Source organism: Homo sapiens, chromosome 19 (assembly GCF_000001405.40).
Source record: "Homo sapiens chromosome 19, GRCh38.p14 Primary Assembly".
Taxonomy (NCBI): domain Eukaryota; kingdom Metazoa; phylum Chordata; class Mammalia; order Primates; family Hominidae; genus Homo; species Homo sapiens.
Window position 1 is genome coordinate 5,704,333 of NC_000019.10, and position 23,260 is coordinate 5,727,592.

Sequence of the window (23,260 nt, forward strand, 5' to 3'; positions counted from 1 at the left end):
GAGCAGCCATGGGAGCTCACAGGCCACTCACCGAAATCGGGGCGTGCTGGGAGGGGAAGCCACAGCCTTCGCGCGCAACCAGTGCCTCTCAGGGCCCTGGGGGAGAGACTCCGGCGACCGTGACATTCAAATCTGAGGCGGGGTCCTGGGCCAGCAGCCAGGAAAGAAACTCATGCCTTCCCTCTAAGCGCTGTCCTACGGCCTGCCCAGCCCTGCCCCGGGGACTTCTGCCTAGAAGCTGCCCTGGCGTGACAACTGGTTCCTGGGCTGAAAACAGAGCATGCTGCATGGGAAGTGGCCAGGTGGGTTCTGTCCTGGCTGGACATGGGCATGGCTGAAAGGATCTCAGAGGTACCTGAGGCCCTCAAACCTGGGGCGGCCACCCTGACTCATGGCATGCTCAGGACAGTGGCCCCCGGGCAAGGCCAGTGCTGCGGGAAGGCATGGTCACTTCCTGGCTGACTCTCGAAGGGGCAACAGAAGCCAGGGGTAGCCTTGCAAAGACAGCCATGGGGACTCCTGGTCCTGGCGAGAAGGCCTGGCTTAGGCCAGGCGTGGTGGCTCATGCCTGTAATCCCAGCACTTTGGGAGGGCAAGGTGGGCGGATCCCTTGAGGTCAGGAGTTTGAGACCAACCTGGCCAACATGGCAAAACCCCATCTCTACTAAAAATACTAAAAATTAGCTGGGTGTGGTGGCACATGCCTGTAATCCCAGCTACTCAGGAAGTTGAGGCAGTAGAATCGTTTCAACCTGGGAGGTGGAGGTTGCAGTGAACCAACATTGCACCACTGTACTCCAGCCTGGACAACAGAGCAAGACTCTGTCTTAAAAAAAAAAAAAAGCCAGGCATGGTGGCTCGCGCCTGTAATCCTAGCACTTTGGCAGGTCAAGGCAGCCGGATCATTTGAGGTCAGGAGTTCGAGACCAGCCTGAACAACATGGTGAAACCCCATGTCTCCTAAAAATACAAAAAATTAACCAGGCGTGGTGGTGCATGCCTATAGTCCCAGATACTTGGGGGACTGAAGCAGGAGAATTGCTTGAACCCGCAAAGCGGAAGTTGCAGTGAGCCAAGATTGTGCCACTGCACTCCAGTCTGGACAACTGAGCGAGACTCCATTTCAAAAAAAAAAAAAAAAAAAAGCAGCCCTGGCTTAGAGCCAGGCGTCCCTGGGCTCAAATCCGTGGCACCACCTGCCAATTCACAGGCCCTGGCCACCAGCTCAACAGCCCCGAGCCTCGATTTCCTTGTAGAATGGAGATGGTGATGATGTGTCCTGCCCAGAACAGGGCTGATACTCGCTGGATGCCTCCCAGCCCGCACCTGCCACACCAAGAAGGTGCCACGGGGCTCCCCGCTGGGTCCCCTGGCCTGCCTAAGATGGGGGCTGAGGAGGGGTCACCTGAGGGCTGGGCCGCCCCGGGCCTGGCACTCACTTGAACTCCGAGGAGTGGTTGTCCAGCAGGCCCAGCTTGCTCAGCTCCTCGTCCACAACATCCATGACGTGCTTGGGGACCACGAGCTCCTTCAGGCGCTCCCGGAACTTCTCCTCGATGGCATCCTTGTCGTCCTTCTCCAGGCCCAGCTCCTTCTTGATGATCTTTAGCTGCTCCTGCAGCAGGTACTTACGGTGGGTCTGCTTGATCTTCTCCTCCACCTGTGGGGTGAGGTGCTGCCATCAGGCCCTGGCTCCGGGAAGCTGGGTGGGTGGGTGCGTCCCCAGACGAAGGGGGACCCTCTGCTCCCCCAGGACTCAGAGAGAAAAGAAACGAAACCCAGAGCACGAAGCCTTTGGTTCCTTCCATCTTCTTTTGTTTTTGAGACAGGGTCTACCTGTGTTACCCAGGCTGGAGTGCAAAGGCACCATCATAGCTCACCGTAGCCTCCACCTCCTGGGCTCAAGCGATCCTCCTGCCTTAGCCTCCTGAGTAACTGGGACCACAGGCACCTGCCACACCTGGCTCTAATTTTAAAATTTTTTGTAGAGATGGGGCCAGGCGCGGTGGCTCACGCCTGTAATCCTAGCACTTTGGGAGGCTGAAGCGGGCGGATCACTTGAGGCCAGGAGTTCAAGACCAGCCTGGCCAACATGGTGAAACCCTGTCTCTACTAAAATACAAAAATTAGCCGGTGTGGTATTGCACGCCTGTAATCCCAGCTACTCGGGAGGCTGAGGTGGGAGGATCACTTGAGCCCTGGAGGTGGAGGCTGTAGTGAGCTGAGATTGCGCCATTGCACTCCAGCCTAGGTGGCCGACTGAGACCCTGTCTTAAAGTAAAAAATTCTGAAAAATGCTACGACCGTGAGGTGACCGGCCATCAGGCAGGCTGTGATCTGCCGAAAATCATGACAGCGAGCCTCAATGGCTGGGTCTTAAGAAACAGCATCTTCACTTTTCCCAGGCTGCTTTCCAATTTCCAACACTGTCCCCAAGATTACAAAGGCAAAGGAATTCTTCCCTTAATGTTGGACGGTCCTGAGACTGCTCCACCCTGGGCTCATTACACTGGGACCAGCTTTAAGCTTCCCTGTTCAACGCGGAGAGTTCCACAGCCCAGGACGACAGAGCAGATGATGGCACGAAGCCCTCAAAACCCAGACAGGCCTTCTTGGCTTGCCCTGGCCGATGCCACCGGTCCCTCCGTGTGCTCCAGAGCCTGACTGATGTCACGTGGCCCGAGGGGAAGGCCCCCAAGAGTGGCTGCGCCTCAGCCGCGGGCTCACCTCCCGCCCCAGGCGCTGCTGCAGCTTGCTCAGTTCAAATTCCTTCTTCAGCAGGGAGAGGGCCTTGTACAGCCGCTTAGGAATCTGCCGAGACAGGGAGGACAGAAAGGATGAGCAGAAGTCGGCATCTGTGTGTGTAGGGCCGAGGTTGGGGGAAAATGCGCACCCTGAGAGATGCTGCCGGGAGGACCTGGCCATGCTGTACCCAGCACAGAGGCATGTGTGCCCTCTGCCCCAACAAATCCCGTGCTGGAAACGCATCCTACGGATACTTCACAGGCCCTCCAGCTGCGTGCATGGGGACGCGCTCAGGAGTGCTGCTCACAACAGCAAAAGACTGGCAACGCCCCGGGTACACGGCCCAGAGGATCCCACTGAACCCGCAACGGTGACTCCCAACCGAAGGCTATGAAGCCACCGAAAGGCGGATGGATGTGGACCAAGACACGCAGCGGGAAATCATCTCAAAAACAGAGCCAGGGACACACAGCTGGGTGTGGATGGTGCACGGTGGAGGGACAAGGGCAGCCAGGCATGGGGGAGCTGAGGAGGAACGGGGGCAGCCGGGCGTGGGCGGAGCATAGTGGAGGTGGGGTGCAGCCAGGCGTGGGGGGCTGTGGAGGTGACGAGCACTCACATTGGTCTCTTCCAGGACGTCCTGCAGCTCATGGGACTCGGCCCCGGTGAGCGCGGCGCCCATGTCGCTCAGGTAGATGGGGTTGTCCACCACCCGCTGGCCAGCCTGCATCATCTGCAGCACTGACTCCCTGGGGGACAAAGGGAGCTGCCTCGGTGGCCAGGGCCTCACGCTCTGCTGCAGTGCAGCCCCCAAACGGGGACCCGGTCCTCAGGGTCCCTGTCCCCTGTAGCTATGGGCACGGTCTAGGGGTGCTCGCTGGGAGCCAGCTCTGCTGCTTGTTCTCCAGAGTTCAGGGCCCACCCGTCCTGGGCTGGAAAGGCATGCAGCATCCTCACGTGCAGCCACCACGGGAGCCGTGCAGTGACCTCACCTCAGCAGTCTGCTCCCCACTCCCCCAGCCAATGCCACCAACAGCTTCCGGCCTCAGCAGAAGGGGACAAAGAAACTGGGCCTGCTGAGTCGGCCCCGGGCCTCCCACCTGCCCCATGCCCCAGTGGGCAACGGGCTCCTCCACACAGGCCACTCCTTGGGGCAGGCAAGGTTTCCTCCCAGGAGGACGCTGAGGAAGCCCCCTACCCACCCAGCTGCAGAAAGAGCTGCAGAGATGCCCCCGCCTGGCCAGCTGCCCGCACAGAGGCCCACCTGTAGAGAGGGTTCAAGGCAATGATGTCCCGGATGGTCTTCACGATCTCTGCAGTCAGGGCCTGCCAAGTATGGGGCAGGGTCGCTGGGGCCCAGCAGTGCTCCAGCAGGGGGTGGGCTGGGTGGGAGCATGGCCCTGGGAGCCCCACCCACCAGCTCCATCAACTCCCTCCCCTCCGCCAACTGGCCCTGGCCACGGACGGCCTGGGAGATGGAGGAGTGCAGTCCCTGGTGGACTCACCAGTCCCAGGGACACAGGACCAAGAGAGTCAAAACTAAAACCAAACCCTGTCTCCTTACCCCTCAGAGCCTTGTCCTTAGGATAAGCTATCTCAGGGGAAAAAAAGAGACTGTGTTTTCTTTCCTCCATTTTTTAAGAGACCAAGTCTTGGCCGGGCGTGGTGGCTCACGCCTGTAATCCAAGCACTTTGGGAGGCCGAGGCGGGTGGATCATGAGGTCAGGAGATCGAGACCCTCCTGGCTAACACAGTGAAACCCCGTCTCTACCAAAAAATACAAAAATTAGGCGGGCGTGATGGCGGGCGCCTGTAGTCCCAGCTACTCGGGAGGCTGAGGCAGGAGAATGGCGTGAACCCAGGAGATGGAGCTTGCAGTGAGCCGAGATCGCGCCACTGCACTCCAACCTGGGCGAAAGAGCGAGACTCTGTCTCAAAAAAAAAAAAAAAAAAAAAAGACCAAGTCTTGCTCTGTCACCCAGGCTGGCGTGCAGGGCTGCAATCATGACTCACTGCAGCCTTGAATTCTTGGGCTCAAGCGATCCTCCCCGCTCATTTTCCGGAGTAGCTGGGACCACGGGCATAAGCAACTGCACCTGCCTACAACCAAATTTTAATCACCTGGTCTTGGCCGGGCGCGGTGGCTCACACCTGTAACACCAACACTTTGGGAGGCAGAGTTAGGTGGGTCACTTGAGGCCAGGAGCTCAAGACCAGCCTGGCCAACACGGTGAAACCCCATCTCCACTAAAAATACCAAAAAAAAAAAAAAAATTAGCCAGGTACTTTGGTGGGTGACTGTAATCCCAGCTACTAAGGAGGCCGAGGCAGGAGAATCACTTGAACCCAGGAGGCGGAGGTTGCCATGAGCCAAGATTGCGCCAGTGCACTCCAGTCTGAGTGACAGGGTGAGACTCTGTCTCCAAAGAAACCGTAATCACCTGGTCTCTAGTCTTTGGCTTTGACGCTGAACTGTCTGAGCTGACCCTGGTAGAAGGCACCAGAACAGGCCCACTGGAGGTCCGGGGCACTTGCTTTAAGAATAAGTTCAGCTGGGCACAGTGGCTCACGCCTGTAACCCCAGCACTTTGGGATGCTAAGGCGGGCGGATCACGAGGTCAGGAGATCCAGACCATCCTGGCTAACACGGTGAAACCCCGTCTCTACTAAAAAATACACAAAAAATTAGCCGGGTGTGGTGGCGGGCACCTGTAGTCCCAGCTACTGGGGAGGCTGAGGCAGGAGAATGGTGTGAACCCGGGAGGTGGAGCTTGCGGTGAGCCGAGATCACGCCACTGCACTCCAGCCTGGGCGACAGAGGCTCCATCTCAAAAAAAAAAAAAAAAAAAAAAAAAAAGAACAAGTTCGCTGCCCCTAAGGGGTCTTGCCAGTTCTAATCACATTTGTAAGTTTGGTCGCTGTCTTCCCCCTGTTGCAAGATTCTCACAGGGAATGCCCCAATGCTGAGCTGCCCAGGACAGTGTAGCCGCTGGTGGCTGTCTGAATTTTTTTTTTTTTTTTTTGAGACAGAGTTTTGCTCTTGTTGCCCAGGCTGGAATGCAATAGTGCAATCTCGGCTCACCGCAACCTCTGCCTCCCAGGTTCAAGCAATTCTCCCGCCTCAGTAATCCCGAGTAGCTGGGATTACAGGCATAAGCCACCACACCTGGCTAATTTTTTTTTGTATTTTTAGTAGACACGGGGTTTCTCCATGTTGGTCAGGCTGGTCTCAAACTCCTGACCTCAGGTGATCCGCCCACCTCGGCCTCCCAAAGTGCTGGGATTACAGGCGTGAGCCCACCGTGCCCGGCCTGAATTTTTTTATTTTAATTTTTAGATACAGGGTCTCACTCTGTTGCCCAGGCTGGAGTGCAGTGATGCGATCACAGCTCACTGCAGCCTCAATCTCCTGGGCTCAAGCGATCCTCCCACAGGTTAGACCACTGGTGTGTGCGACCATGCCCAGGGATTTTATTTTTTTTGTGGAGACAGGGGTCTCAATATTGCCCAGGCTGGTTTTGAACTCCAGGGCTCAAGTGATCCTCCTTCCTTGGCCTCCAAAAGTGTTGGGATGACAGGCATGAGACACTGTACCCAGCCAATAAAATGTTCCATTCTGTTCCTTGGCCACAGCAGCTCTACTTCAAGTGCTCAATACTCACAGGTGGCCGGGCACAGTGGCTCACGACTATAATCCCAGCATTTTGGGAGGCTGAGGTGGGCGGATCACCCGAGGTCAGGAGTTTGAGACTAGCCCGGCCAACATGGTAAAACCTCGTCTCTACTAAAAATACAAAAATTAGCCGTGTGTGGTGGCACGTGCCTGCAATCCCAGTTACTTGGGAGGCTGAGGCATGAGAATCACTTGAACCTGGGAGGTGGAAATTGCAGTGAGCTGAGATCGTTCCATTGCACTCCAGCCTGGGTTGACAGAGCCAGACTCTGTCTCAAAAAAAGAAAGAAAAAAAAAAACCTCGCAGGGGTAGTGGGGCAGGATAGAAGTGCTGACCTCAAGAACCCAGGTGGGCCTGTGGACAGGACTTTCCACCCCTGCCAGCGCCCACAGCAGACATCACCAGTTGCTCACAGCACTTCCCCCTAGGCCCTGCAGCAGCCTGGGGAAGAGGCTGATGACACCAGGCACACAGGTAAGGAGCTGACACGCTTCAGGCCTTTGGTTAGCTTCGCTGACTGTCCCTACAGCGGGAGGGCAGGTGGCACCGCCAAGAGCCTGCCCACCTCGGAAGCTGACTCCTTGTGCCACCAGGCAGGCAGGACGGCCTAGGTTGGGGGATCAGGGTGGCCAACAGGCTGTTTCCTGTCCTGCAACCACTGGTACCAACCTCCCAGGCTTGGTGGGAAGAAGCCAGGGCTGGAAGGTGTCTTGGTAACCGCTGGAGGCTTTGGCACAGGGGACACGGGCTGGGGCTGGACCTGGGTTCCAACCCTGTCTCCTTCCTGAGCAGCTACAGGCTCCAGCGAATTTCCTGTGCCTCTCCCATCCCAGAGTCTTCCGAAGACCTCTGGGAGGAAAAGCACCCTCTATGTTCCATTAGAATTGAGTTCCAGACAGGCCAGACCCTTCCTAAGGGGCTCAGGGTGGGAGATGACTCTTCGGAGAGGCCGCAGGAACGGCTCAAGGGAGCCCGTGGGGGAGGCAGCTGTGGCCGCCCTGCGTGACGCACGGACTCACTTTCACCTCCTCCGTGACCTGGAAGTCCTCGTGGACAACGTTCTCTACCTCCACCATGAGCACCTCAGCCGGGAGCTCAGGGGTGGGCTCCATCGCCAGCTCCGCCGGGTGCCTGGCGCTCAGCTCGTCCTCCGCCTCCTTCTTGCCCCGCTTTGACTTCCTGCGGGGCTTGTGCTTGTTCTCCGCCTCCGGCTCCTCGGGCTCCACCTCCAGCTGTCTGCTGATATGGACTCTGACACGGGAGCAAGGCAGGTGTGAATCAGCCGCTGAGGCTGGGAGCTGGACCCGGCTGAGGCCTCCCTGGTGGCACAGGTGGTCCAAGGGTCCCGCTGAGCCCAGACCTCTGGAGCCACAGGGTGGCTACAGGGTCCTCAAGCTGGAGACGTGAGCCGCTTTCTCGGGGCCTCCCAACCAGTGTCCCCTCCACCCCTTAGACTCCAGCCAGATTCAGGCATTCCCTGCATCCCACGCCAATGCATCACTGTCCCCATCCTAAGTATCGTGGATAAGCTGCAGTGACAAGCCCCAGGGCCTCCTGTCGAAAACGGTGTCAGCCTGGCCGGGCACAGGCTGGTCTCCAAGACTCTGTGCCCTGGACTCAGCTCATAGCAGCTCCTTCCTGTTGTTCAGGTCTCGATTTCAAGGACACCATCGCAAAGACTGTCCCCAAGCACTTCACAAAAGCTACCCACCTCCACCTCTCACGCTGTCTGCGTCTCCCCTCAGAGCACCTGGCACCACCTGAACTCAGGGTCTCGCTCTGTTGCCCAGGCTGGAGTGCAGTGGTGTGATCATAGCTCACTGCAGCCTTTACCTCCTGGGCTCAAGCAATCCTCCTGCCTCAGCCTCCCAAGTAGCTGGGACTACAGGAACACGCCGTCACATCTAACTTTTTATTATTTTTTATAGAAACAGGGTCTTGCTGTGTTGCCCAGGCTGGTCTCAAACTCCTGGGCTTAAGCGATCCTCCCACCTCAGCCTCTTGCGTAGCTGTGACCACAGGCATGAGCCACCACATCCAGCTAATTTTTCTACATTTTTTGCAGAGATGGGATCTCGCTACGTTGCCCAGGCTGGACTCAAACTCCGGGCTCAAGCGATCCAATTGCCTTGACATCCCAAAGTGCTGGAATTCCAGGCAGGAGTCACCATGCCTGGCCCTGCAGCTCACCCCTTTCTGAGACAGGAGGGGTCCAGAGGTGACATGTCTCACTCTCACCCCCAGCTCTGGCCTCAGTGCTAGTGAGAAAGCCGCTGGGCTGACGGACAGGGCAGAGGCTGATGCTGGGGCATAAGGCATCCTGGCTGGTCTCCCGCGTGGTACTCTGCCCCCACCTCCCACTGTCCCCCGCCAGCCACCCACCTTCTGTGTCCCATGACGATCATGCGCAGCTTGTCCCCAAGGTCCTGCATCTCATGGATCTGGGCAAACGTCCCCGTGTGGTAGATTTCATCCAGGCTCTCGACCACATCCGACTCATTGCTGTGGGAGAAGAGCACAGAGGAATGTTGGAACATGGCTTTCATGCTAGGCAGGATGTCTCTGGCTGAGATGGAGGAGGGAGAGAAAAGAAACGCCCCTACCAAATGCTACTGAAAACCAAGAGCGGCCTCCTTGGCTCCCGCAGGAGCTCCAGAGCCTAGGGGAGCTTCTGCCAGGCCAGGGCTGCCCCAGTGGTCACAGGACCGGGTGGGTGGCTCCTCGCTAAGTCAGCCACAAAGACATGGTCCAGGTGGGACTTTGATGAGTCTCTTCTATGCTATCACAGAGCCTGCTTCGAATGCATGCATGGAACTCTTTTTTTCTTGAGATGGAGTTTCGCTCTTGTTGCCCAGGCTGGAGAGCAATGGTGTAATCTCAGCTCACTGCAACCTCCACTTACTAGGTTCAACCGATTCTCCTTCCTCAGCCTCCTGAGTAGCTGGGATTACAGGTACCTGCCACCACGCCTGGCTAATGTTTTGTATTTTTAGTAAAGACGAGGTTTCATCATGTCAGCCAGACTGCTTTGGAACTCCTGACCTCAGGTGATCCACATGCCTCAGCCTCCCAAAGTGCTGGGATTACAGGTGTGCGACCCCACGCCCGGCCCATGGAACTCATTTCTACATGGAGCCACATCTCCGAGCAGCTAGCTCGACTTTCAGGTAGCCTCATGGAGCATTTCATCACTAAGAGTCCCTGAAGTTAATTTCCCCCGTATCTTAACAATGCATGAAGTTTAGTACTACAAGCTGAGTTCTCAGCCCAGGCTGAAAAGGTAGCCTGCGTGGCTTCTGGCCTTTATTCTGGAGGTCTTCCCTGGTTTCCTCGGGGTCAGGGGTCAAAGGTGCAAAGTACAGAGTAGGACTTGTGGTGAGCTGGACTCTAGGGCACCGTCAACAAGGGAATGAAGGAAAAATCACACTTACCTGTCATCTCTCTTTAGAAAGACGCCGACATAAGGCTGGGCGAGACGAACTTTCCTTCTCAGCAGCTCAACCAACTTCTTATTTTTAACCTAGCATGACAATGACCCCAAAGTGAAATGCAGAGTAGATTTTTTTTTTGAGACAGAGTCTCATTCTGTTGCCCTGGCTGGAATGTAATGGCGTGATCTCAGCTCACTGCAACCTCCACCCCCACTGAGTTCAAGGGATTCTCCTGCCTCAGCCTCCTGAGTAGCTGGGATTACAGGCATGCACCACCACACCTGGCTAATTTTTTTATTTTTAGTAGAGATGGGGTTTCACCATATTGGCCAGGTTGGTCTCGAACTCCTGACCTCAGGTGATCCACCCACCTCAGCCTCCCAAAATGCCGGGATTATAGGCGTGAGCCACCAAACGCAGCACAGGGTAGCTTTTCTTTTTTTTTTTTTTTTCTGAGACGGAGTCTCGCTCTGTCACCCAGGCTGGAGTGCAGTGGCATGATCTCAGCTCACTGCAACCTCCGCCTCCCGGGATCAAGCAATTCTCTGCCTCAGCCTCCTGAGTAGCTGGGATTACAGGCGCCCGCCACCAGGTCCGGCTGATTGTTTTGTATTTTTAGTAGAGATGGGGTTTCACCATCTTGGCCAGGATGGTCTTTAACTCCTGACCTCGTGATCCACCCACCTCAGCCTCCCAAAGTGCTGGGATTATAGGCGTAAACTACCACGCCCGGCCTCCCAGGGTAGCTTTTGTAGCTGACATTTTTTGACAGCAGAGCCGCTCTAACGCTGTGTAGATTATTCTCTGGGGACATGCTGATCCGCATCCTGGATACTAATCAACATGGTTTGGGAACGCCTAAACAAAAAAAAAAAAAAAAAAAAAAAAGTGCTGGAGGCCAGGAGGCTGTGGTGGTGAATACAGTGAGCAGAACTGACCAGCTGGATTCTTCTTAGCGGTTTCCCCACTCCCAAAGGAAATTCAAAGTAGACGAATGGTCAGAACCCAGAAATTGATTTAACATCCAGCTTCAAAGGGGATGTCCAGGGCAAACTGTCTTGGTTTGAAAATCAAAACCATTCTGCTTTTATTAATGTCAGAATAAACATAAGTAATTTAAATGTGACCCACTCCAGAGATTGATAACTTCCTTTTTTTTTTTTTTTTAATAAAGTTTCAGGCTGGGCGCGGTGGCTCACGCCTGTAATCCCAGCACTTTGGGAGGCCGAGGCGGGCAGATCACAAGGTCAGGAGATCGAGACCATCCTGGCTAACACGGTGAAACCCCGTCTCTACTAAAAATACAAAAATTAGCCGGGCGTGGTGGCGGGCACCTGTAGTCCCAGCTACTCGGGAGGCTGAGGCAGGAGAATGGCGTGAACCCGGGAGGCGGAGCATGCAGTGAGCCAAGATCACGCCACTGCACTCCAGCCTGGGCGACAGAGTGAGACTCTGTCTCATAAAAAAAAAAAAAAAAAAAAAAAAAAAAAAAAAAAAGAAAGTTTCACTCTGCCACCCAGGCTGGAGTGCACTGGTGCAATCTCGGCTCACTGCAACCTCCACCTCCCAGGTTCAAGCGATTCTTCCAACTCATCCTACCACATAGCTGGGGTTACAAGCACACGCCACTGCACTCGCTAATTTTTGTATTATTAGTAGAGACGGAGTTTCGCCATGAGCCACCATGCCTGGTTCCTCCAATTTTCATTGACAGTTACTTCCTTATCACATCATATGCTGTTCATTAATGATCAAGACCCCCAGGATCACAGCACATTCTCAACGGCAGGTTCAGGGCTAATGATGTCTTCTAAGAAGCATTTGAAGGCGCAAGGAGCTCACCTGATTTCTTTCAAGCCTTTGTTAATTCACTGGACAGACCCTGATTAAAGGTAATGGCCTGGCTAGCCTGGTAATGGTAGCTCATGCCTGTAATCCCAGCACTTTGCGGGGCTGAGGTGGGAGGATCGCTTGAGCCCAGGAGTTTGAGACCAGCCTGGGTAACACAGTGAGACCCCATCTCTATTTTCTTTTTGAAGTTTTTAATTCTTTATTATATAATAAAGTTAAAATATACATATATATATATATATATATATATATATATATATATATATAGTAATGGCCCTCAAACTTTTGCAGGCACCAGGATGACCTGAAGGACTTTAAGCAGCTCACTGCTGGGCCCCACCCTTGGAGTTTTTGATTCAGTTCTAGGGTGGGTCCAAAAATCTGCATTTCAAACAAAAGAGCATCACATGATGCCGATGCTGCTGGTCCACAACCATCCTTTGAGAGCCAGTGTTTTGACTCACTCCCTAACACAGGCTCTTAACTTGTGGTCCAGAAATTCCTGACACTATAGATACATAATTTTTTTTTTTTCTGTTCCCAGAAAAAAAAAAGTCAGTAACATCTGACAGGAGGGTGTGTGACCCACTGTTATAAGTAAAATGTTTGTTTAGAGACAGAACGCTTGTACCTCTGTACTGTAAGGAAAAATTAGCATTTGGACAAAAAGTTTTCTTAGCAAGACAATTTTACTTTCTGAAGAAAGGGTGCTCCTCGCAGATGGAACAATGGCGAGAGCAGAGCACACCTGAACAAAGGAGGGAAGCAATTTTTTTTTAAGACAGAGTCTTGCTCTGTCGCCCAGGCTAGAGCGCAGTGGAGCGATCTCAGCTCACTGCAAGCTCCGCCTCCTGGGTTCACACCATTCTCCTGCCTCAGCCTCCCGAGTAGCTGGGACTACGGGCGCCCACCACCACTCCAGGCTAATTTTTTTGTATTTTTAGTAGAGACGGGGTTTCACCTTGTTAGCCAGTATGGTCTCGATCTCCTGACCTCGTGATCCGCCCACCTCAGCCTCCCAAAGTGCTGGGATTGCAGGCGTGAGCCACCGCGCCCAGCCCACGAAGTTAGTTTTTAAAAGAAACTAATACTTCTAACACTTATGATTTATTCTTTAATACCCACCAAAAATTAAGAGCCATTGTTCCTTACTCAAAAGTTGCTAATAGGAGAGAAGCTTCTAGAGCAAGTTGGCCAGACAAGTCAAGTACAAACTGAAGAGTAAATCAAGCTTTGCTAACAATTTCAGAAACATTTATTGGGTCCCAAAGAAGTTGCCTCCCAATTTCCCCTCTGCCAACAGCTGATAGCTGCATCCTTGGCATCTGCCTCCTGGCCTTGGCAGGATCCATTTTTATGATTTACAATGCATCATCAACCAGAAATACAATGAGAACCACCTGCCAGTCTCCCAAATACTATCTGCAGCCACTCATTTAACTCTCCTGGCTAGCTCCACGTGGGCCGTCTGAACTCTCTTAGAAGAATCATCTCTCTGCTCAGGCACCGGGAGCAAGGGGCATCTGTCGCTCTGCAGAACGGAGGGGACCAGGCCTGATGAACACCATCCTGGGCCCAGAAACCTGGGAGGGTAAAGAGAACTGCCAGGGGTGAAGTCAAGGATGGGAAAAAGGCCTCCGGGGCAGAGTCCTGAAATGTCAGAAGTACACCAAAGAGGAAACAGCATCACGTTATTGCTGAGGCAGGGCCTCATTCTGTTGCCCAGGCTGCAGTGCAGTGGTGACACCATGGCTCACTGCAGCCTTGATCTCCCAGTTTCAAGTGATCCTCCTGCCTCAGCCTTCCAAGTAGCTGGGAAGACAGGTGCATGCCACTGTGCCCGGCTTTTCTTTCTTTCTTTTTTTTTTTTTTTTTGTAGAGACAGGGTCTATGTTGACCATACTGGTTTCAAATTATGCTCCTGCCTCAGCCTCCCAAAGTGCTGGGATTAAACATGTGAGACACCGTGCCCAGCCCACATGGCCTCATTTAAATCCCACAACAACTCTAATAAGACACTAATATGTCCAGGTCACAGATGAGAAGAGGGAAGCCAAAGGAATAACTTGCTGAAGGTTATGGAGCTAGGATAGGACCCCACAAGGTCTTGCTCTGGGGGCCTGCATCAGTAACCAGTACTCAACATCAAGGAAAGGCCTTGGGGCCGGGCGCAGTGACTCGCACCTGCAATCCCAGCACTTTGGGAGGCTGAGGCGGGTGAATCACTTGAGGTCAGGAGTTCGAGACGAGCGTGGGCAACATGGTGAAACCCTGTCTCTTCTAAAAATAGAAAAATTAGCCAGCCACGGTGGCGGGCGCCTGTAATCCCAGCTACTCAGGGGGCTGAGGCAGGAGAATCACTTGAACCCGGGAGGCAGAGGTTGCAGTGAGCTGAAATCGCGCCACTGCACTTTAGCCTAGATGACAGAGTGCAACTTGGTCTCAAAAAAAAAAAAAAAAAAATCTTGGAGCAGCGTTGGAGAAGCTCCCTCTGTCCCCTCTCTACTGGCTGCTGCCCCTCTGAAATGGCCTTTCCCTTCCCAACAGATCCTTGAGATTTGTTTAGAAGAGTCTGGAGAGTGAGCGCAGAGGCTGACTCACTGCGTGACCTTGCTCTGCCAGTTAGGAGATAACCTTCCCATAGATGCCACTTTCCACATCAGTAGTTTTTTTTTTTAAGGGAAGGGGAGCTGGGGGAGAAGGCTTTTGGGGCCTTCCTACTGTAAAAGCTCAAGTTCCTTACACTCACTGCTTTCTCTCTATTACATCATCCTGCTCCCTCCCCACCCCCAAGGCTCTTAGTCTGAAATGATCTAATTTCTACCACCGGAATGACTTGTTCTCTACAGTATTCTCAGAACTTGCTACGTGGTAGGAGGTCAAGAACACACTGAATAACCCACCTCTTCCCACCCTCCTAAGCCTCCTGTCCCATCCATGCTCTACTATTTCTCGTAATTATTGCCTTCTAATACAATATCGTTACTAAACATCTTTATTGCCTGTCTCATCCTGCCAAAATGTAAGCTCCAAGGCAGATTTATTTTTTAAGAGACAGGGTCTCGCCATGTTGACCAGGCTGGACTCCAGGTTTCCAACAATCCTTCCACCTCAGCCGCCAGAGTAGCTGGGAGTACAGCGCGCGCCACCATGCCCAGCTTCAAAGGCAGAAATTTTTGTCTGTTTTGTTCACTGCCATATCCCCAGAACCTAGAACACTCTCTGGCAAATAATAAGCAATCAAGAAGTATTTGTCTAAGAAAGGAATGAATTCTGATCCCAGTGAGGCTCGTAACCAGACGGCAGAGCGCCTGGGGCGAGGAGGTATTACAAAACTCGTGCCAAGTAAGGAGAAAACTAACAGCGCCGTAACACTACTCAGGTCCCTCCCGGCCCCGGATTTCTATGACCGGCGTTCTAAAGTGGATAATCCTAGGCTCATCGGGTTCAACTCCTCTCATCTAACGGATCCTAAGAAATCCGAAAGGGAGAGGACTTTGGCTCAAGGTTCCCAAGCTAGTGGTGAGCAGACAAGGATTCGAACTGCACCCTTCGAGAAACTTCATGTCTGAAAAAGTTGCGAAACACAAGGGCGCTCAAGTGATCCCACGGTTCAGCCCGCTGCTTGCACAGGTGGGAAACCTGAGGCCGAGGCGGGGACTCCCATTACCTCGATAATCTTGATAAAGCGCGGGAACACCGGGTTGCGGGTGATGGCGATGAGCGGCAGGTGCGGAAACACATCGGGGATCGTCATGGGCGTGAGCGCCGTTATGACCGGGCCTTCCCCGGCGCCCGCGCTGCCCCCCGCGCCGCCGGCTCCTTCCTCCGCGCCGCCCTCGGAGGCGTCCTCGCCCCCCGAGAATGCGCCTCCGCCGCGGCTGCTCGCTTCCCAAAACCCCCGCCATTGGCCCCCAATTGCCGGGCCTCGGCCCCACAGTGCCCAAGGAGGAGAGGCGTCGCAGGTCCGCTGGCCTCGGAGCAACCACGCTCCTGCTGCAGTGGGAACCCGCCCCCCGGCGGCGGCCAGCATCGGCCGCCGCAGCACCCAGCACCGCGCCGCTCCCCACAGTCGCACGTAGCCAGTGCTCGCCGCCATAGCCCGGCCATACTGGCGGCTCACACAACTCGCGTCATTTCCGCTCGCCGCGAAACGCACGTGACGCCCGGCGCGTGCCTCGGTACCCGATGGGCGCGTGGCTCGAAACAGCCGCTTCAGGGAGCTGGGCCTACGCGGAGAAGAGGGGGCGGAGTTCGAGCATCGGATCGTCTCCGCCTCTTCCGGTCTCCCACTTTATGCGCTGAAGGCCTTTTCCGGTCACGTGGAAGGCTGTGAGCAGGCGCCAGCGCCCGTACAAAACACTGGTAGTGTTGCAAACGCAACGTTTAGGAACTCATGAGCAGCCTGTGCACATGCTTAGGCGCGCGGACAACATGCGCATGCTCAGACTCTAGACTGGCCACGGGTGGCCGGGTGCGCATACTCAGGCTCTGAGCGCACTTTGGGGTGCGCGGATTCGGGCTTCCCGGGATTCGTCTGCGCATGCTCAAGATTCAGGCGGAGCGCCGGGCTGCAGTGCGCGGAGGCCCGCTCCCGGGACTCATTGATGCGCATGCGCAGGGCTTCAGCCTGCACGTACTCGGATTGTGCAGCGACTCCCCGTGGCGGTTGAGGGGCAGTGGTGGCGGCGGAAGCCCAAGTCGATGCTGATGTTGATGCTGGTGGCGGCTGTGACCATGTGGCTCCGACCGCTGGTCACAGCTCAGCTCTGTCGGTGGGGCTGCCAGGACTCCTGGGGCTGGGGTGCTGCCGGGGGTCGGGAGGGTGCTGGTTCATCTTGGAGCCGAGGCCTGCTCCCCAACCTCACTGAGGCTCCCCTTTTACTCTTTTTAGGAATCGAACTTGACGCCTCGCTCACCCTACTCCACCCCATCCTCCCAGCCCGATATTAAGCTCTCCTACCTCTTTTTTTTTTTTTTTTTGAGACGGAGTCTCGCTCTGTCGCCCAGGCTGCAGTGCAGTGGCGCGATCTCGGCTCACTGCAAGCTCCGCCTCCCGGATTCACGCCATTCTCCTGCCTCAGCCTCCTGAGTAGCTGGGACTACAGGCGCCTGCCACCACGCCCGGCTAATTTTTTTTTGTATTTTTAGTAAAGACGGGGGTTTCACCGTATTAGCCAGGATGGTCCCGATCTCCTGACCTCGTGACCCGCCTGCCTCGGCCTCCCAAAGTGCTGGGATTACAGGCGTGAGCCACCACGCCGGGCCTAGCCCTCCCACTTCTTTTTCTTTTTGGAGCCGGAGTTTTTGCTCTGTTTCCCAGGGTGGAGTGCAGTGGCGCGATCTCTGCTCACTGCAACCCCCGCCTCCCAAAGTGCTGGGATTGCAGGCGTGAGCCACCGCGCCCAGCCTTACCCAGCACATTTTGAAATTTCAGTAAATGTTAGGTTAGTGCATACTCCAACCTGCCATGGGGACCAGTTGCTGAAACTCCGTTCCTGCCCTCAGGGAACTCCCATCTGGACTAAACTGTCACATTCAGTAGGGACCTGTGAGCTGTATTCTTAGGGTGTATGGCCTCATTTGATGTTTACAGGAAGATTCATAATGATTCCTTAACCTTATTTTATTTTATTTATTATTATTTTTTGTACAGATGGGGTCTCACTGGCTGGGTGCAGTGGCTCACGCCTGTAATCCCAACACTTTGAGAGGTAGAGGTGGGCAGATCACTCACTTGAGGTCAAGAGTTCCAGACCAGCCTGGCCAACATGATGAAACCTCGTCTCTACTAAAAATACAAAAATTAGCCAGGCTTGGTGGCAGGTGCCTGTAATCCCAGCTACTTGGGAGGCTGAGGCAGAAAAATCGCTTGAATTCAGGAGGTGGAGGTTGCAGTGAGCTGAGATCGCACTCCAGCCTGGGTGACAAAGGGAGACTCTGTCTCAAAGGAAAAAAAAAAAAAAAGAGATGGGGTCTCACTGTTTTGCCCAGGCTGGTCTTGAACTCCTAGGCTCCAGTGATCCTCCTGCCTCAGCCTCCCAAAGTGTTGGGATTACAGGCATGAGCCACCCATGCCCAGCCATACCCTTATTTTATTTTTTTGAGATGGAGTCTTGTTCTCGTCGCCCAGGCTGGAGTACAATGTCACGGTCTCGGCTCACTGCAACCTCCGCCTCCCAAGTTCAAGCAATTCTCCTGCCTCAGCCTCCAGAGTAGTTGGGATTATGGGCGCCTGCCACCACGTGCAGCTAATTTTTTGTGTTTTTAGTAGAGACAGGGTTCCACCATGTTGCCCAGGTTGGTCTCGAACTCCTGACCTCGTGATTCACTTGCCTCGGCCTCCCAACGTGCTGGGCTTACAGGCGTGTGCCACCGCGCCCGGCCAACACCCTTATTTTATAGATACGAAAGCATACTTAGGAAAGTTAAAGACACACTTGCCTAACAACACATACCTAGTAAGTGGGAGAAACATTTTCCAGTGAAATTTACTAATAGGATTTGTCTCGAGTTCTGAAAATGTGGGTTATATCCAGTTCTCTCATTTCCCCACACAGGCTCTCAAAGAATGGTCCCTGGACCAGCAGCATCAAGATCACCTGGAATTTATTATAATTGGTTAGAAATGCAGTTCCCTGGACCTACTGAGTCGGGGACTTGGCAGTGGGACCCAGCAAACGGTGGTTTATCAAGACCCCCCCCCCCGCAACCCCGGTGATTCTGATGCATATTCAAGATTGAGCACCTCTGCTGTAAACTATACCATCCTTCCAGTCACCACACACTCCCTTAAGGAGCCCCGAATACCTTGTTGCAGGACTTCATAATTTTCCTCAGCTGGGGTCTGTGAAGGAGCCTTTAGAAATTCTTGGCCGGGCGCGGGGGCTCACGCCTGTAATCCCAGCACTTTGGGAGGTGGAGGCGGGCGGATCACGAGGTCAGGAGATCGAGACCATCCTGGCTAACACGGTGAAACCTCGTCTCTACCAAAAATACAAAAAATTAGTCGGTGTGGTGGCGGGCGCTTGTAGTCCCAGCTACTCGGGAGGCTGAGGCAGGAGAATGGCGTGAACCCGGGAGGTGGAGCTTGCAGTGAGCTGAGATCGCGCCACTGCACTCCAGCCTGGGCGACGGAGCGAGATTCTGTCTCAAAAAAAAAAAAAAGAAAAAGAAAAAGAAAAAAGAAATTTTCAGAAATCATTTCTACATTTTGTGTGTACTTATGTCTGTTTCTGGGAGAGGAGTTTCATACAAATTTTATTTTTTGACGGAGGCTTGCTCTGTCGCCCAGGCTGGAGTGCAGTGTGGCAAGAGCTCAACTCACTGCAACCTCTGCCTCCAAGGTTCAAGCGATTCTAGTGCCTCAGCCCTCAGCCTCCTGAGTATCTGGGATAACAGGCGCCCGCCACCCTGCCCAGCTAATTTTTTTTTTTTTTTTTTTTTTTTGAGACGGAGTCTCGCTCTGTTGCCCAGGCTGGAGTGCAATGGCGCCATCTCGGCTCACTGCAAGCTCTGCCTTCTGGGTTCACACCATTCTCCTGCCTCAGCCTCCCGAGTAGCTGGGACTACAGGTGCCGCAACCACGCCCGGCTAATTTTTTTGTGTTTTTAGTAGAGACGGGGTTTCACCGTGTTAGCCAGGATGGTCTCGATCTCCTGACTTCGTGATCCACCCGCCTCGGCCTCCTAAAGTGCTGGGATTAACAGGCGTGAGCCACCACACCTAGCCTGTTTTGTTTTGTTTTTGTTTTTTTTTTTGAGATGGAGTTTCACTCTTGTTGCCCGGGCTGGAGTGCAATGGTGCAATCTCAGCTCACCATAACCTCCGCCTCCCGGGTTCAAGCGATTCTCCTGCCTCAGCCTCCTGAGTAGCTGGGATTACAGGCATGCGCCACCACACGCTAATTTTGTATATTACAGGCTAATTTTGTATATTTAGTAGAGACAGGGTTTCTCCGTGTTGCTCAGGCTGGTCTCGAAGTCCCAACCTCAGGTGATCCACCCGCTTTGGCCTCCCAAAGTGCTGGGATTACAGGTGTGAGCCACCGTGCCTAACTTTTTTGTATTTTTAGTAGAGACGAGATTTCACGATGTTGGCCAGGCTGATCTCGAACTCCTGACCTCAGCTGATCCACCCACCTTGACCTCCCAAAGCGCTGGGATTACAGGTGTGAGCCACCGCACCTGGCTCTAATTTTCGTATTTTCAGTAGAGATGGGGTTTCACCAAGTTGGCCAGGTTGGTCTTGAACTGCTGACCTCAAGTGATCCACCTGCCTCGGCCTCCCAAAGTGCTGGGATTAAAGACATAAGCCACCACGCCCAGCCTCATCCAATTTTCTAGGGCCTCCTATAACCCGAAAAGCATCAGGAACAGATACTTGGCTGGGCGCAGTGGCTCACGCCTGTAATCCCAACACTTCGGGAGGCCAAGGCAGGCAGATCACGAGGTCAGGAGTTCAGGACCAGCCTGGCCAATGTGGTGAAACCCTATCTCTACTAAAAATATAAAAAATTAGCTAGGTGTTGTGGCGCGCGCCTGTAATCCCAGCTACTCTGGCGGCTGAGGCAGGAGAAACACTTGAATCTGGGAGGCGGAGGTTGCAGTGAGCCAAGATCTTGCCACTGCACTCCAGCCTGGGCGACAGAGTGAGACTCCGTCCCCCCCAAAAAAGAACAGATACTTTAGGGTTAACCCTGAGTTGGCTGAGTAGGAGGATTCATGCTGAATATTCAATAAAAATTGACAGATGGTCTTTCTTGTCACTTCTAGTTCTCGCACAGTGAGGACAGGAAAAGTGTTTAATCTGATACAGGACGTTCAAGGGGTATGTGGCTCCATGCTTAAATTCATCCTTCACTTTTGTCTAAGTACAGGATCAGAGGTAACACTTCCTGGTATTTCTTGGGTGCCCGTGTTGTCAAGCATTTAAGATCATTACTTTATTCAGTCTTTACAGTTCTTTCCCCTTTGAAATAGGGATTAATCTTTCCCATTTCACTGAGAAACAAGTTTAGAGAGATCAAGTCATCTGAACAACGCCAAGAGGAAGAAGTGGGAATAGAACTAAGATGGTCTGAGTTTTTATCGAGTGTTCTGTTTACTTCTCTCTCAGATAGGAGATTTTATTTTTTGAGACAGGGTCTTGCACTGTTGCCCAGGTTGGAGTGCAGTGGCGCAATCTCGGCTCACCGCAACCTCTGCCTCCCCAGCTCAAGCGATTCTCATGCCTCACCCTCCCTAGTAGCTGGGATTATAGGTGTGTGCCACCATGCGCAGCTAATTTTTGTATTTTTGTAGAGATGAGGTTTTGCCATGTTGCCCAGGCTGGTCTCGAGCTCCTGGACTTAAGTAACCTACCTGCCTCAGCCTCCCAAAGTGCTGGGATTACAGACGTTCACCACCGTGCCCAGCCTTGATGGGAGATTTTAAAATGCATAGTAACAGTAGAAGCAAACCCTGTTACTTTGTTTACCTCATGTAATGTCACAGGAAATGTCAGTTTACTTCATGCTTAAAATGCATGAAGAAAAAATATTCTGTCAGTTCAAATTCGTTTCCTATTGACAAAATTGCATAATTTTGGCCAGGTGAGGTGGCTTATGCCTGTAATCCCAGCACTTTGGGAGGCCGAGGCGGGCGGATCCCTGAGGTCAGGAGTTCAAGACCAGCCTGGCCAATATGGTGAAACCCCGTCTCTACTAGAAATACAGAAATTAGCCAGGTACGGTGGCGCATGCCTGTAATCCCAGCTATCGGGAGGCTGAGTCAGGAGAACTGCTTGAACCCAGGAGGCAGAGGTTACAGTGAACCAAGATCGTGCCACTGCACTCCAGCCTGGGGCGACAGAGCCAAAAAAGATGCATAATTTCAAAATGGTGTCAGCATTTTGAAACAATCTTCAAGTGACTGGTTTCTAACATGTTAATATTCATCATTCTCTGGACTTTCAAATAACTAATCATCTGTAAACAAATAGTAACATGAATAGGTATGAGATGTGATATGAATAATTACCCTGTTAATTTTTTTTTTTTTTTTCCTGAGATGGAGTCTTGCTCTGTCACCCAGGCTGGAGTGCCGTGGCACAATCTTGGCTCACTGCAACCTCCTTCTCCTGGGTTTAAGCCATTCTCCTGCCTCAGCCTCCCAAGTAGCTGGGATTACAGGCGTGCGCCACCACACCCACCTAATTTTTGTATTTTTAGTAGAGACGGGGTTTCACCATGTTGGCCCTGCTGGTCTCAAACTCCCTCCTGACCTCATGATCTGCCCACCTCGGCCTCCCAAAGTGCTGGGATTACAGGGGTGAGCCACTGTGTTTGGCCTGAATTTTTTTAATTTTTAAATTATCATTTCTTTTAGGGACAGTGTATCTCTTTATTGCCCAGGATGTAGTGCAGTGCTGAGATCATAGCTCACTGCAGTCTAAAACTCCTGGGCTCAAGCCATCCTTCTGCCTCAGGCTCCCCAGTAGTTGGGACTACAGGCATGCACTACCATGCCCAGCCAATTTTTATGTTTTTTGTAGAGATGTGGTCTTGCTATGCTGCTTAGGCTGGTCTCGAACTCCTGGCCTCAAGAAATCCTCCTGCCTCAGCCTCCCAAAGTGTTGGGATTACAGACGTGAGCCACCGCACCTGGCCCACCCTGTGAATTAAAAAAACTGTTTATTTGGACATAATTATAGATTTACAGCAAGTTGCAAAAACAGTACAGGGAGGTCCCAAGCCCTTCTGCCAGCTTCCCCCAGCAGTCACATCTGACATGATCATAGTACGAGGTCAAAACAGGAAAATGACATTGGTACATTCCACCTACCTAATTCAGATTTCACCCTTTATGTTGATAATAGTGCGTATTAAAAATTATTTCTGGCCGGACGTGGTGGCTCACGCCTGTAATCCCAGCACTTTGGGAGGCCAAGGCAGGTGGATCACAAGGTCAGGAGATCGAGACCATCCTGGCTAACATGGTGAAACCCTGTCTCTACAAAAAAAATAGAAAAAACCAGCCGGGCATGGTGGCGGGCGCCTGTAGTCCCAGCTACTCGGGAGGCTGAGGCAGGAGAATGGTGTGAACCTGGGAGGCGGAGCTTGCAGTGAGCCAAGATTGTGCAACTGCACTCCAGCCTGGGCAACAGAGCGAGACTCTTGTCTCAAAAAAAAAAATTATTTCTATCAGCTGTTTATGGTTATTGATATTATTAAGATTTTGTGATTATCTCTCTAGGACCGCCTGTATTTTCATCCTACAACAACACGCTTGATTAAACATCCTTGCGAGAAAAATATAGCACTATATCTAGGGTAAGTGGCAATTTTATGTACTGTTACCTTCCTTTTAAATTAAATCTTTAGATTTGCCCCATTCATTCGTTCAACAAACAGTAAAGAAGATGGCTCTGCCGTGTGTTGCTAGTTGCTGGCCTGTAGGGAGTCCATAGTCAGGGGCTGGAATTGGAGGAAGGGAAATGAAGAGATCAGCCAGTAACTAAAACAACTGCAGTATAGTGTGGTACCACCTGTCAAAGATGCTTGGTATAAGCACTGTTGGG

The 23,260-nt window shown here is 53.0% G+C and overlaps 2 protein-coding genes across 17 annotated transcripts in view, besides 7 other annotated features; one reads left to right on the top strand and one right to left on the bottom strand.

The window, feature by feature from the left end:
- The window catches only part of LONP1 (lon peptidase 1, mitochondrial), a 28,619-nt gene extending 12,499 nt beyond the window's left edge, over window positions 1–16,120 (bottom strand). For 3 of the 6 annotated variants that reach the window (NM_004793.4, XM_047439719.1, XM_011528441.4), the window contains exons 1-8: window positions 15,372–15,814; window positions 9,851–9,939; window positions 8,802–8,921; window positions 7,439–7,670; window positions 4,010–4,071; window positions 3,365–3,494; window positions 2,728–2,811; window positions 1,440–1,660 (exon numbers count right to left, since the gene is read on the bottom strand). In NM_004793.4, coding sequence (NP_004784.2) covers window positions 1,440–1,660; window positions 2,728–2,811; window positions 3,365–3,494; window positions 4,010–4,071; window positions 7,439–7,670; window positions 8,802–8,921; window positions 9,851–9,939; window positions 15,372–15,800 — 1,367 coding nt within the window. In that variant the 5' untranslated portion in view covers window positions 15,801–15,814. Of the gene's footprint in view, window positions 1–1,439; window positions 1,661–2,727; window positions 2,812–3,364; window positions 3,495–4,009; window positions 4,072–7,438; window positions 7,671–8,801; window positions 8,922–9,850; window positions 9,940–15,371; window positions 15,815–15,886 lie in introns of those variants that run through there. The other 3 variants (NR_076392.2, NM_001276479.2, NM_001276480.1) reach the window with 3 other exon arrangements.
- Window positions 13,429–13,945: an enhancer, noted in NCBI's record as "H3K4me1 hESC enhancer chr19:5717772-5718288 (GRCh37/hg19 assembly coordinates)". NCBI's record gives its function as "activates a minimal SCP1, AML or CMV promoter by ChIP-STARR-seq in primed H9 embryonic stem cells {active_cell/tissue: H9 hESC(primed)}" and the evidence as "EXISTENCE:reporter gene assay evidence [ECO:0000049][PMID:30033119]".
- Window positions 13,946–14,461: an enhancer, noted in NCBI's record as "H3K27ac-H3K4me1 hESC enhancer chr19:5718289-5718804 (GRCh37/hg19 assembly coordinates)". NCBI's record gives its function as "activates a minimal SCP1, AML or CMV promoter by ChIP-STARR-seq in primed H9 embryonic stem cells {active_cell/tissue: H9 hESC(primed)}" and the evidence as "EXISTENCE:reporter gene assay evidence [ECO:0000049][PMID:30033119]".
- Window positions 15,424–15,503: a silencer, noted in NCBI's record as "silent region_9931". NCBI's record gives its function as "represses an Ori minimal core promoter by ATAC-STARR-seq in GM12878 lymphoblastoid cells {active_cell/tissue: GM12878}" and the evidence as "EXISTENCE:reporter gene assay evidence [ECO:0000049][PMID:35858748]".
- Window positions 15,495–16,011: an enhancer, noted in NCBI's record as "NANOG-H3K27ac-H3K4me1 hESC enhancer chr19:5719838-5720354 (GRCh37/hg19 assembly coordinates)". NCBI's record gives its function as "activates a minimal SCP1, AML or CMV promoter by ChIP-STARR-seq in primed H9 embryonic stem cells {active_cell/tissue: H9 hESC(primed)}" and the evidence as "EXISTENCE:reporter gene assay evidence [ECO:0000049][PMID:30033119]".
- Window positions 15,495–16,063: a biological region, named in NCBI's record as "NANOG-H3K27ac-H3K4me1 hESC enhancer GRCh37_chr19:5719838-5720354".
- Window positions 15,634–15,683: a silencer, noted in NCBI's record as "silent region_9932". NCBI's record gives its function as "represses an Ori minimal core promoter by ATAC-STARR-seq in GM12878 lymphoblastoid cells {active_cell/tissue: GM12878}" and the evidence as "EXISTENCE:reporter gene assay evidence [ECO:0000049][PMID:35858748]".
- Window positions 15,964–16,063: an enhancer, noted in NCBI's record as "active region_13815". NCBI's record gives its function as "activates an Ori minimal core promoter by ATAC-STARR-seq in GM12878 lymphoblastoid cells {active_cell/tissue: GM12878}" and the evidence as "EXISTENCE:reporter gene assay evidence [ECO:0000049][PMID:35858748]".
- The window catches only part of CATSPERD (catsper channel auxiliary subunit delta), a 58,098-nt gene continuing 51,142 nt past the window's right edge, over window positions 16,305–23,260 (top strand). For 10 of the 11 annotated variants that reach the window (XM_011527885.4, NM_152784.4, XM_011527887.4 and 7 more), the window contains exons 1-3: window positions 16,305–16,476; window positions 20,476–20,530; window positions 22,936–23,012. In XM_011527885.4, coding sequence (XP_011526187.1) covers window positions 16,406–16,476; window positions 20,476–20,530; window positions 22,936–23,012 — 203 coding nt within the window. In that variant the 5' untranslated portion in view covers window positions 16,305–16,405. The remainder of the gene's footprint in view (window positions 16,477–20,475; window positions 20,531–22,935; window positions 23,013–23,260) is intronic. The other variant, XM_017026565.2, reaches the window with a different exon arrangement.